Source organism: Homo sapiens, chromosome 6 (assembly GCF_000001405.40).
Source record: "Homo sapiens chromosome 6, GRCh38.p14 Primary Assembly".
NCBI classification, from domain to species: domain Eukaryota; kingdom Metazoa; phylum Chordata; class Mammalia; order Primates; family Hominidae; genus Homo; species Homo sapiens.
In genome coordinates, this window is record NC_000006.12 from 99352766 (window position 1) to 99367335 (window position 14570).

The window sequence follows — 14570 nt, forward strand, 5'->3', positions numbered from 1 at the left end:
TGCCGTACGCATGGACATTAGCTCCAAACTAGAGGCAATTTCTTTTTCTTTTTCAAGGACTTTTTGTTAACTAACTTTAATTGAGTTGTTATAAGACAAGAAAAAAGAAGGAACTAATATTGATTGAACACCTGTTTGTGTTGTATAGTGATTTTTTTTCCAGTAACAAGCTATGTTAGATAAGTATTGTCATTTCAATTTTACAACTGAAAGAAACTAAGGCCCAGAGGGGACAATTAACAAGTTCAATTCCCAGAGTGAGGTGATGATGGATCCAAGCATGTCTTACACCAGTGGCCCTGTGGGCGCTCCACCACCTCCATCAGCGGTGTCCAATCTTTTGGCTTCCCTGGGCCACATTAGAAGAACTGTCTTGGGCCACACCTAAACTACGCTAAGGACGGCTGATGAGCTTTAAAAAAAATCGCAAAAAATTCATAATGTTTTAAGAAGGTTTACAAATTTGTGTTGGGCCACATTCAAAGTCGTCCTGGGCCGCCAGGTTGGACAAGGTTTTGACCTACAAGGGTCTCACACCAAGAACAGTGAGTGCTGGAGCGCTGTCCATGGTATTCTTGCTTTACACTATTAGTCTGGGGCTCAGTTTTCAACTGTCTCAACTGAATGACTACAAAGCATCCAATGCCTGCAGGTTATACTGTCACCTGAAAAAGGTAGCTTCAGATAATTTATTATGCAGATATCGGCGTGCCCTGTGTCATGTGGGTCTACAGCCTCGCCAAGACAATTGGGTAAGGACAACTAAATCAGTGTTTCCCAAACCTTAAAGTACATATGTGTCACCTGGGGCTCTGTCATGACGATCAAACAAGAGACAATTAGATCAGAGGTAATTGAGAAGGTGGGTGGTGAGAAAAGTTTAGGATGTTTTGAGTGTGGGCCTCTCAAACATTACCGTGTATATGAGGATATTGTTAAAATGCAAAATTTGACTCAGTAGTTCTGGGGTGGGGCCTGAGAGTCTGCATTTCTAACAAGCTTCCAGGTGATACCAGACCACAGTTTGTGTAACAATTGTTTATACCACTGGCTTATGAGGAAGATCAAGAACTCTGCCCACCAGGTGTACCCCATGTTAGATGGTTTCTAATCAACCCAATCAAGTCACCACCTTTTATTAGTTTGAACATCATACATTGCAGATAAGTTTGGGGCAGTAGTAGAATGAGAAATAGGAAGAAAATAAATCAAGACTCTAGAAGAACAATTAGAACAGAAAGTAATGTGTATTTCTTCTGAGAGACTGACCTGATGCCCAAGTGCTGGGAGCTGAGGGAGGAAGTCATGGGGAAGGAGAGATGTAAGGGAAGGGGACAGGAGATAAGAGAGAAGACAGAGAATAGGCAATTTATGATGTCTCTGTTTCACTACCTGGGTGATTAATAATATCATGGAACATTTTTCAGGCACCAATACAAACAGCATAAACAAATGAACAAAATAATTTACAAATTTAATTTATCCTAATCATCTTTTATCAGAATGATATTACACTTGATGTTTTAAAATCAAGTTTAAGAGATTTAAAGCCTTGCTCCTACAGTAATAAGTGGATGTGATGTGGCACTATTGCTGGTTTTTACATAGTAACATTTACTATGCTATTGCATTAAAATATCTCTATGTTATTCAAATGTAGGTAATTTAATTGATAATATTTCTCTGAATTTTGTTGTAAACTTCTGCTTTCTTGGCTTGATTTATGGAGAAGACATCTCACACCAAGCTACCCACCTGGCATAGCAGAATTCTTTTTTCTTTTTTTTTTTTGAAACAGAGTCTAGCTCTTTTGCCCAGGCTGGAGTGCAGTGGGGCGATCTCGGCTCACTGCAGCCTCTGCCTCCCGAGTTCAAGCGATCCTCCTGCCTCAGCCTCTCAAGTAACTGGGATTACAGGCGCCTGCCACCATACCCAGCTAATTTTTGTATTTTTAGTAGAGACGGTGTTTCACTGTGTTGGCCAGGCTGGTCTCGAACTCCTGACCTCGTGATCTGCCTGCCTCAACCTCCCAAAGTGCTGGGATTACAAGCATGAGCCACTGCACCCAGCCCATAGGAGAATTCTGAATCCTAACTAACATTATAGCTGGAAGCCAGTCTCTCACCTCTCACCATAAGGTGCTTTGCCTATATACTTTCTGATCCACTGGACTTGAGCATTTTATAAACCATTATGCAACTCTCAGAAAGCATGTCCTGTAAGATTAACTTGATGCTGAGAAAAGATATGCAAATAATAACCAGGCTCAGATGAGTGAGAGGCAATTGAGAAGGTGAATCGTGAGAAGTGTAGAACATTTTGAGTTTGAACAGTGTATTAGTTTGCTAGGGCAAAGAACAGAACCCTAAGAACATCATATTTAGAGAATGGGCAAAGAAAGAGGGAAACTGAGAAGGAGCAACAAGTGGGAGGGTGTCAGAGCCACAGAAGGGAATAGGGAGTTTCGAGAAATTTAGGGTTAGGATCAATAGTGTCACATGCTCCCAAAAAGTCAAGTAAAATAAAGTTAGCCAGTAGGGCAGACATTACTGACCTTCGTGGGTGAGTGAGTGCATTTAAGTGTTGCGGAGGCAGAAACTAGCTTGAAAAAATGTTACTGTCAATAGTGTTCAAAGTGTCTGTTTCCTTGTCCTACCCTTACCGTACATGATATTGTTAAATGTTTTGATCCTCCCTAATTTGAAAAAGCAGTGTCTCCTTGTAGTTTTAAATTTGTGCTTCTCTTATTATGTGTAAGGTTGAATGCATTTTTTGGAAAGATGTATTTCTATTTTTTGTGAACTGCTCATTTGTTTTGTCTTAAGCGTCAAGTCTCACTATGTTGCCCAGGCTAGACTCAAACTCCTCAAGTGATCCCTCCATCTCAGTCTCCTGAATAGCTGAAATTATATGTGCACACCTGGTCCTGAACTATTCATTTTTCACTTGGCATTATTTATATATGTATTTATTTATATGAGCTCTTAATAGAGAAAAATAACTCTTGGTCTATAAATCAAAGTGATGCAAATATTTTCCCCAGCTTGTTATCTTTCCATTTTTTCTTTTTATTTTACATATTTATTATTTTTGAGACAAGACGCTCTGTCACCCAGGCTGGAATGCAGTGGCATGATTACGGCTCACTGCAGCCTCAACCTCCTGGGCTTAGGTAACTTCACATAATTCCCTGAATTATCAAACGATCCTCCCACCTCAACCACCCCAAGTGGCTGGGACTATAGGCAGGCATCACCACGGCCACCTAATTTTTTTTTTTTTTTTTTGTATTTTTTGTGGAGGTAGGATCTCACCATGTTGCCCAGGCTGGTCTTGAACTCCTGGACTCAAGCGTTTCACCTGCCTCAGCCTCCCAGCGTGCTGGGATTACAGGCATGAGCCACTGCCCCAGTCTCTTTCCATTTTTTCTTCTATGGCTTCTTGATTTTCTATTATAGTTTTAGAGTGGTCTCATCCTCTGAATGGGATGCTCAAATCTATTATTTCAATGTTCCGGGGTGACCTCAAATGCTGGGGTGTATTAAAGAAAAAATTATTCTGATACTTGTTAAAGGCAGTAAAGAAAACCTTTTTCAAGGGACTACTTCAATGGGGCTTTGCAATAGGGGAGAAAGATTGAGCTTAACTCCAAATACAACAAGGAAAAGTGAGGATTTACAGCAAAGTGGCAGGGAGAGGGGAGAAGATGTCAGAGGATGGAGAATTACTATGAGAAGACATCAAGGCTAGAAGGCTAAACTGGCCAACAAGATTCCTGATGAAGACAGCCCTGGGTGATCAGATGCCACATGGGAAATGAGAAATTTGATCAGATACTGAAGGTGATCAAACATCAAGGATGGGAGAATCTGGCTAAACTGACTTAGCAGAATTCTCTCTAAAATTGGGCAATGCAAACATTGACACAGAAGTCCAAATGTTGAGGCTTAGTTGAGAAGAAGGCTTAGTGGAGCCTGACTAAAATTCGGTCAAGGAGAGAGTCTTTGTCAGTTGTGACCAGGAAGGTAGAAGCCTCTAGAGATAAGAGTCTGTTGCTGACAAGATAGGACACAGACCATCCACAAGGACAGAGGAGTTATTCATGAATATGGGAAGACTTAGGGAGAGTAGAAGAAAAAAGATGCTGTGATTGAGGGGTGTGACCAGAAGTGGGAGTTTGGAACAGAGGAGGAGTAGAGGATGGGAGAGCTAGACCTGAAACTTGGAGAAGCATGAGCTTTTACCCAAAAGTAATGGCAGTGAGTGAAGAGGACATAAAGCCCATCTCCAAAGTCTGAGGTTCATAGAAAATGTGGGACTTCCTCCGGGTGAAATCATGTCCTCATAGGACAGCAGGTTTCAGTTGAGGTAGGAAGTAAAGGGCACTACAAAGAGGACTTGAGAAGGTAGGGTAATTAGTATATCATGAAATGGGCCTTATAGGGGTTGTAGCAGAAAAGTATAGAAGATCAATGGGAGTTAGGCAAGAAACATTCAAGAAACACTCTTAAGGAGAGATTCTGGGAAAGAATCACTATGGGGTGTCTACATGTTGGGCAACGACTAGGGATAGCAGAGATCCTTATCAGGCTATAGGAATGGCACAACCATCTGGACTTGGTGGCTCCCTGGAACACCAATGACCTGCACTTGAACTGATTGTTCTCAGGAAAAGGTGTCATCTAAGGAGCACAGAGACAAACACCAAGCCTGTTTTAAAGTCAAGAAAGGAATGGAGATCTTGTGAGATATCAGTGAGTTCTACATCCATTGGTTCTGTTCCTCAATGAGAAACAAGGATTCAGATCTAGCTGAAGTGGGAACATCTCATGCCCATATTTACCTTGAAACTCTCTACTCCCATTCTTAGCTCTGCCACCACATCATCTTGAGAACATATTTTTTTTCTTTGGGTCCAACTGGTGCCTTTTATCTCCTAGACAACGGTTCTTTATACGTGCCGCATCACTTTTTTCCTCAGATACAAGAGGTTTATTGAACTCACAATCCATTTTTTTTACTTAATTTTCATGCAAACGGTCAGTGTCAGCTTTTTTGATACAGAAAAAGTTTGTATGTCATTTGCATCTCATCAGTAATTGTCAAGTAAGAATCTCCCTTCTAATAGAGTCACATTGTAAGTTAATTAACATCATAAGTTAATCAAAACAATTATGTGTTGACTATACTAACACTTTTATCTCATCTCGTTTCCATCTTTATTTCTACATTGACATTTTCTTAGATGTTCAGACCTCTTTCTGTAGCCTATAATAATGTAAATATGTTAAATGGAATTGTGGGGACCTCCGCAGTCCAGGTTTAAAAAATATTCCCAGTAAGCATGACTTGAGCTTGTGCCTGGTTACTGAACAGTCTCTAAAACTTGATGCTTCTCAATGTTATATCTATTCCAGGCCAGTAGTAACACAGAAGCCCTCTTGAGTGTCCCTAGAATACATCAAAGGGCTATTTCAAATAGTGTCCAAAATTTTGACTTTTGTGCTTGACTAAGATACTTTCAATGTGTTATATTTTAACTTGATGCTTTTCTTCAATTTAACACTAATATAATAGTAAAACATCTAAGTATAATACAGAGAGTAAGGATATAATTTTATGCAGGGTATTTAAAGCATTTTTATAAAGTTGCAATTAGTAGCTTATAGTTGTTTTAATCATAGAAGGGGAATTAATCTTTAAGAGAACTGAGTCAAGAGCCCAGACTCAGGCTTGCTGATGTTCTGTCTGATTTCAATATTTTTGAAGATGCTGCCTTGCATACAGACAATTCAAATATGTGATTAAAATAATCCAGCTGTGCATGGCTATGCTACTGCTATGACTATATGATGGCATGGACACTAGATACAAGTATAAAAGTGGTGAAGTGCACAGGCTCAGGAATCAGACTGCCTGGCTTCAGATCCTGGCTCTGTCTTCCTAGCTGTGTAATGCTGAACATGTCAATGTCACTCAACATTTCTGAGAAATGAAGCTAACAATAGTTTCTACCTCATGCTGTTGTGAGGATTAAGTGAGATTGCACATGCATAGCATTTAGCACAAGATTTGGCACTTCATAAATCCAAAGGATTACAGTAAATAGCCAAGAGTAACCATAAATTTTTTTTTTTCAGACAGAGTTTCACTCTTGTTGCCCAGGCTGGAGTGCAATGGCACAATCTCCACTGACTGCAACCTCCACCTCCTGGGTTCAACCGATTCTCCATCTTCAGCCTCCCGAGTAGCTGGGCTTCAGACACGCCACCACCACGCCTGGCTAATTTTTGTACTTTTAGTAGAGACGGGGTTTCACCATGTTGGCTAGGCTGCTCTCAAACTCCTGACCTCAGGTGATCCGCCCACCTCAACCTCCCAAAGTGCTGGGATTATAGGCGTGAGTGACCGCGTCCGGCCAATCATGAATTCTTTTTAAAATGAATATGCGACACAGAGACAATAATCAATGTAGGAATTCTTTTCTTGGCCAACTCAAAATCATAATTTCACTAACATTTTCTGCTAACTTTTGATTTTGAAAATTTTCAAATTAATAGGAAAGTTGAAGGAATAGTAGCCTGTGTGCCCTCATCTAGACTCATCAACTGTTAGTCTTTTGCTACATTTACTTCCTCTGTGTTTCTACATAAGCGGGGACACACACTCTCAGAAACTTAAAGTTCTGAAAAGTATCTCATCTGTCTCTCTTTATCTGACTATTCCCATTTGCCCCTTATCAGGTACTAACAACATGGCCTGTTTTCATTTTTTTTAACCCTTTGAACATAAGTTGCAAGTATTTTACTTTTCAGCATGCAATTCCTTAGAACAAGGACATTTTCTTTCATAAACATAATATTATCACACACAAGGAAATATATAATTCCATAATGCTATCTCATATCCAGTACATATTCAAACCATTTTCAAAATTTTCCAATTGTCTCGAACATATTTTCTAGTTGTTTGGTTCTTGCCGTTGTTTTTTCTGTCTAGAATCCAGTCTTGCATTGCATTGGTCACTTTTAACCTACATCCCAGTTTAGGCCTGTTAACCTGTAGAATGCCTCACATTTTGGATTTGTCTGGCTTTCCCCTTATAGTTTATTTTAACGTGTTTCCCTTTGCCCTATATTTCTGGAAACTTAAGCCTAGAAGCATAATTAGATTTAAATTTTTTTTTTTAGCAAGGACACACCATAGATATATCATGCACTTCATATTGCATCATATCAGGAGGACATAGTGTAAGGCAATCCCACTATGAGTGATGCTAAATTTAATCTTTCCATTGTAAAAAAACACTCATTTGGAATTAGTAAGTAATCTGTTGGGTGATACTTTGACATCCAATAAACATCCTGTTCCCCTCAATTTTTATATCAATGGTTTTAACTTTGTGGAAGTTATCAGTATCAAAATTGAGTCACTTAAGTCATATTCTTTCAAAATGCAGCTGAGAAGCCACAAAGAAGGAGCCCTCACACACCTATATCTGTAACAGAAATTATTGCAAGAAATTCCTCAAACCCGCACTATTCCAGATAAGCCACTTGCAAAGGACACTCACCTAACAATGGCTGTCTCCAGTAATAAGCCAGTGCCAACTCCTGCAACAAGCCTCTGTAACCAATGGATTTGTTTCAAAGCAGCTTACATGGATGTCTCCTTTTTTTCACTTAAAAACTTCCCCTTGCCCCAGCCTCTTTGTATGTGCCTATGGTGAATCGCATTCTGAATGGCAATTTCTTGCTATTCCCAAGTAAATTCTTTGTTTTGGAGAGTCAGCCTCTCTGTTGCTTATTTTAGATTGACAGCTCTCACTGATGACCGTTGCCTGAATCAATTATTACGTTGTAGGCAATGCGAGTGCTTTTAATTTTCCATTTGAGTGACTGAATAGGTCAGTTAAAAAAGAGTAGAGACAGTGCTTAAAGGGAAGAAGAATATCTAAAAGTTGACAGAAATCACCATGGGCTTGGAGATTGTGTTCCTACACCACGTGTAAAAATGATCTCATTTTATATGTTATATATATGTTTCTTGGCTGGATTTCATAAGACAAGTATTTATTCATTTCAACTCTTATTTAATAGTGGCTGTATGTGCCAGAAATTACACTAGAAATATATAGATAAGACATGCAGTTCCTACTCACAAAGAGCTTCCTAATAAAGAATTAAGGGTACTAAGATGTTATAAACACTTGATAGAATAAATATAGGATAACAGAGTGGGGCTGGTAGAGGAGGAAAAGGGTGGCTCTAAGATGTGAATAATCAGTTCTACCTGAGTCAGAAAGCTGGGTCAGGAATGGGTTCATGGAGGCAATATTTGGGCTGAGTCTGGAAGCAGGTTAGCTACTCACTCAATGGACGAGAGAGAAGGGTGCTGAGTGAATAAAGATATGGACGTCTGCCATTGCCTCTGAATTGACTTCATCCTTATGTCATCATGGTCCCCTAGACCTAAAGTGGTCATTCTTATAATGATTCCTAAATCATTGCTTTCCTTTGTGTGGGATCCTCCAATCAACAGATGTGAGCTTTGTTTGGGTTATTTATCCCTGCTCTCTAAGTGGTAATTTGGCTCTAGGTCTGGATGTTATGGTAAAGTAAGCTACAATGAATTAAGATTTTGGCTGTGAGTGACAGAAAACCCAAACATCAGTAGCTCAAACAAGTTGATTCTCTCTGCCTCTCTGTGTGTGTCTCTCTCTCTTCTCTCAAGTATGGAAGTAAACTGCCTAGGGATAACATAGTACTTCACATCTCAGGCTTCTCAATCTTGTTTCTCCAGCTGAAAGTCTGAGATGACTGCTCCAGTTTAAGCCATCATGTCCTCTTTTCAGCCAGCAGGAAGGAGGAAGGGCACAGAAAAGGGCATATTTTTAAGGACACTTCTTGAAAGTTACGCGTATTATTTCTATTTACATTTCATTGGCCATAACTAAAAGGCATGGCCACATCTAGCTGCAAAGAAGGTTGAGAAATGTAGCTAAAATACAGAGTTATTTTGCTACAGAAGGGAAGAGGTTTAGAGAACATCCATGAGACTTGGCTATGTCTGTTCACAGGTGGCTAAGAGGGTCACTGAGGAGCAGTTAGTGGGGAACAAAAAGGAGGCTCTCCAGGCATTGGGGATGGCATGGGTTAATCTTTAGAAAGATGAAAACAGGCCATATTCTTAGGAAAAGATAAGGGGAAATTGAGAATAAAGACAGGCAGATTAAATACTTTTCAAAACCTCAAGAAAATTGTTTTTATTTATTTGGCCTTCTCTGAAGGTGGTAGACCCAAAGTGAAGAAAGGATAAGTTTTGAACCTATTATTCACAAAATTGGCTGAGCATGGTGGCTCATGCCTATAATCCCAGCACTTTGGAAGGCTGAGGCGGGTGGTTCACCTGAGGTTCAGGAGTTCAAGACCAGCCTGGCCAACATGGTGAAACCCCGTCTCTACTAAAAATATAAAAATTAGCTGGACATGGTGGCACATGCCTGTAATCCGAGATACTCGGGAGGCTGAGGCAGGAGAATCACTTGAACATGGGAGGCAGAGGTTGCAGTGAGCCGAGATCACGCCATTGCACTCCAGCATGGGCAACAGAGCAAGACTTCGTCTCCAAAAAGAAAAAAAAAAAGCCTACAGTAGTAACCTGTCAGATATCCAGATTACTGACTTTATTGGAACTTTGTTGGAATATATTACCAATACTTCATTCATTCATTTTTTTATTCAATAAACACATATCATGTGCCAGGCACCAAACTGGATCAGGGGATGCAATAGTGAACACAGCAGAACAGTGGTCCCAGCCCACACAGTACTTATGTGAGACAAATTCGAATCAAATATTCACATGGATAAATCTAAGCCTGCAATTGCAGTAAGTGCTACAAGAAAGGAAATAAAGTATAATATTAAAATGGTATTGCCCTAGTCAGGGAGATCAGAGAAATGTCCCCAGGAGAGGTGATGCTTGGGCTGAGGTCAGACTGAGAAGTAGAGTGAACTAAGTGAAGGGGTGGGTGGCTAGTGGTGAGAGAGTTTAAATGTTCCTGACAGTGGAGGGAGAACTGAGCAACAGTTCCCATAACAATGTAACAACATGAAGCCTGGGACAAAGTGCAAAACACTACCAATAGTTTGCCACTTTTCATGTAAGCAAGGGGGGAAATAATATACATTTCTGTTCATTTCTGCAAAACCCACAAAACCAGAAGAATAATGAGATTGGTCACTTACAATGAGTAAGCAAGAATGGATGGAAAGAATGGGGCAGATGGAAACAGAGTAGAAGGCATATAGGAGAGTGACATGTCTCTGAGTATAACTTTTGTATAGTTCTGACTTTCAGTACTATGTTAGTGGCATGTATTTCCAAAGGAAATAACTTAAATTAGCCAAGATGTGGGCAAAGACAGACCCAAAATGAAATATCAGGCCAGATGCAGTGGCTCATGCCTGTAATATTAACGCTTTGTGAGGCAAAGGCAGAAGAATCACTTGAGGGCAGAAGACCAGCTTGGCCAACATAGTGAGACCCTGTCTCTGCAAATGATTTTTAAGAATTAGCTGTGTAGGGCCAGGTGCAGTGGCTCATGCCTGTAATCCCAGCACTTTGGAAGGCCGAGGCAGGCAGACCACGAGGTCAGGAGATCGAGACCATCCTGGCTAACACGGTGAAACCCCATCTCTACTAAAAATACAAAAAAATTATCTGGGCGTGGTGGCGGGTGCCTGTAGTCCCAGCTACTCGGGAGGCTGAGGCAGGAGAATGGCATGAACCCGGGAGGCGGAGCTTGCAGTGAGCCAAGATCATGCCACTGCACTCCAGACTGGGTGACAGAGCGAGACTCCAACTCAAAAAAAAAAATTAGCCGGGTAGACTGGGCACAGTGGCTCATGCTTGTAAATCCCAGCACTTTGGGAGGCTGAGGCAGGCAGATCACTTGAGGTCAGGAGTTCGAGACCAGCCTGGCCAACATGGTGAAACCCTGTCTCTACTAAAAATACAAAAGTTAGCTGGGCGTGGTGGTGTACGCCAGTAATCCCAGCTACTCAGGAGGCTAAGGCATGAGAATCGCTTGAATTCTGGAGGTGGAAGTTGCAGTGAGCCGAGATTGCACCACTGCACTCCAGCCTGGGCGACAACATGAGACTCCGTCTCAAAAAAAATTAGCCAGGTATGGTGGCATGCACCTGTAGCACTAGCTACTCAAGAAGCTGAGGTAGAAGGATCATTTGAGCCCAGGAGTTCAAGGCTGCACTGAGCTATGCTTGGGATACTGCACGCCGGCCTGGAGTGAGACCTGTCTCAAAAAATATAGATAGATACACACACACACACACACATACACACACACACACAGAGTACCATAAGAACCCAACTGTGTTACAAATGAATAACATGCTGAGATAGATGAGAAGGAAAAGAACTAACTCGCAGTGGTATGAGTTAGCAATTGTGAAACTAAGCATTCTGGAATTGAGTAAATAACTGAATATACTGTGAATAATGAGAGCTAGGTTTCTCATTGTCAGAGAAAGGGTTACAAATAAAGAAAGGAGGAACGTTGGAATAAACGCTGTGATGTTGGATTGGAATCAGAGGTATCAGTATGAATTCATTATTATATACACACAAACAACACACCCGCAGATACAGAAATAGAGATATGTATATTTGTATGCATTCACATATTTCCTAGCTATCTGCTGAACCTGGAATCAATGACACCTCAGTAGTTACAAGAGTCGTTGGTGCTCAGATCTTGGTTTCTAAATACCATTCTCCAATTAAAGGTATTAGAGTCCCTCGATTTCCAGGGCTGGTTCAGGAAAAACACAAGTTGAACCCGGAGCATCTTATGGTGCCAGAAAAAATGTGGTGTTCAAAAAATTAGGCTAGGCATGGTGGCTCACGCCTGTAACCCTAGCCCTTTGGGAGGCCAAGGCAGGCAGATCACTTGAGGTCAGGAATTCAAGATCAGACTCGCCAACATGGCGATACCCTGTCTCTACTAAAAAAATACGAAAATTAGCCGGGCGTGGTGGCAGGCGCCTGTAATCCCAGCTAGTCAGGAGGCTGAGGCAGGAGAATTGCTTGAACCTGGGAGGCGGAGCTTGCAGCAAGCCGAGATCACTCCACTGCACTCCAGCTTGGGTGACAGAGCAGGACTCTGTCTCAAAAAAAAAAAAAAAAAAAAATTATGGGGACATGAAAGGACACAGGAGTGGTTCCAATGGCCAAATCTGGGACAAGTTGAAAAAGAAAATAATAATGAATAATCATATCATGAAATGGTAATGAATAATAATAACATATCAATGATAATAAATATCCATGAGTCTATATGGATGTAAATAAATAAGTAAATGGAGGAAAAGGGACAGCTCTTCCTTTCAGAAGAATTCCATTAATAAGTGTAGAAAGAGACAAACACCATAGGCATAATAGTTTCAAGCAATAAGCATCAATGGATGATACAACTAATGGGCAAAATATGATGAAAAACAGAATATTTATATATTTCTAGGGGTATCTTGCTGCAAGATACTCATCCATTTCAAAGGGAAAAATACTAACTTTACCGTGAAGGAACCTGGTAGACAACACCTTAGTCAAGTGATGAAAGTTAACATCACCAGTAACAAGGCAAATTGACATTATGTAACTCCTGATAGGATGCATTGAGGTGGAGAAGAGTACAGTATCATGTCTGTGGTATTCTTTCCAAAAATGCATTATCAGAATTTAATCACAAAGAAAATTCAGAAAAACTCAAGTTAAGGTACATTCTAAATAACTCTCCAGTGCTCTTCAAGTGTCAAAGTCATGAATGTTAAAGAAGGATGGAGGAACCATCCCAAATTAAAAGAAACTAAGAAGACATGACAATTTAATGCAATGTGGGATCTTGTTTCAAAAGGAAAAAAAAAAGAACCAACTAGTGGCACAATTAATACAATTTAAATAAGGTTTTTAGATTAGATAACTGTATTGTATCAAATTTAATTTCCTGGTTTTTATAATTATAATGTGGTTAAAATTGTGAACATTTGGGGAAGCTGAATAAAGGATATATGGGAACTCTTTGTATTACTTTTGTATCCTTTATTCTAAGTCTGAAATTATTTTTAAATTATTTTAAAATGTAAAGTTTAAAATAATGCAAAAAGCTGGGCACAGTGGCTCATGCCTGTAATCCCAGCACTTTGGGAGGCCAAGACAAGCGGATCTCTTGAGGTCAGGAGTTTGAGACCAGCCTGGCCAACATGGTGAAACCCCATCTCTACTAAAAATACAAAAAAATTAGCCATGCATTTAGCCTGTAGTCCCAGCTACTCGGGAGGCTGAGGCAGGAGAATTGCTTGAACTTGAGAGGTAGAGGTTGCAGTTAGTCAAGATCACTCCACTGGTCTCCAGCCTGGAAGACAGAGTGAGACTGCATCTCAAAAAAATAAAATAAAATAATGCAAAAGACTTGTAATGAACTGTTCTGTCATTCAAATACAGCAAACTTGTCAAAAAGCAAACAAACAGCCCTGAGAAGTAGGTAGGGCTACATGTGGGCACTTGGTAGCCATGTTAAAGGATTTAGGCCTTGTATCTTATGAGCAATGAGAAACAACTGAAGAAGAGGTCAGGGCATGGGGTCAGTATATCTGTGAGGTTTCCAACAGGAAAGAGATGGCATGCTTAAAATAGATAATTTGAGGAAGATTTGTTTACATAGAGATTGGGTAAATTATGCTCCTGACTATGTAAATGATACTCCTGACTTCTAAATCCTGACATTATTATCAAAAATAGGAAGTTTTCTAAGCTTACAGTTGTAGTAACAGTGACATTTTCATTTGAGAACACTCAGGCATAATTTAAGGAATGGATGCTGACAATTCTAGTGCCTCCTGAAAGATGTAAAATAAAAGAAAGATTTTTGTTGTCATGTTTTACTATGAGGAAATATGTAGAACATGCACATGTTTTATTGATTTTATTCATTACTGTTGCTAGTTTCTGGAATCTTGCCAGAAGTCTCCTCTAGGTTCTACAGGTGTTTTGTGCGTGTACTGGGTGCTGGCTTCTATGGTTCCTTATGGATGTTTTCGAAAAAGCTACACCACTTGACTTCTCTCTTGTGACTCTTCCTACCATCATTTATTACTACTTCCATGTGCTGAAAGTTTTGCTCTCCTAGTGCTCATAGCTCTGGGAGTCAACCTTAAATGGTCTAGGAGTTTTTATAATTAGTAGCCCCACTGAGCAATCTGATTGCCTTCATGAGGACTATGTGAGTCATCTACTTTTATAAGTAGGGTATGCATATTCATTCAGGTCATCTCTCAGCTTCCCATCACTGTTCCTCCAACCCTAAACCAAAATCCCAAGCAAATTCACCTTCCTGCTCTCTCCAGCCTTGTTCCTTTTCTTCCTAAGACAGATCTACGGTCTCTTTTGCTGGACTATCAGCCCTAAAGTTTCCGCCATTATTTATTGCAGGGACTCTTATGCCCCCAGTGTTCCTAAGGGAAGTTTTGCATATTAAAGTTTCTACTATA

General features: G+C 40.3%; 1 annotated feature.

Moving 5' to 3' along the window:
• Positions 7394–7594: a silencer, noted in NCBI's record as "peak5980 fragment used in MPRA reporter construct". NCBI's record gives its function as "represses an SCP1 promoter by STARR-seq MPRAs in K562 erythroleukemia cells {active_cell/tissue: K562}" and the evidence as "EXISTENCE:reporter gene assay evidence [ECO:0000049][PMID:32103011]".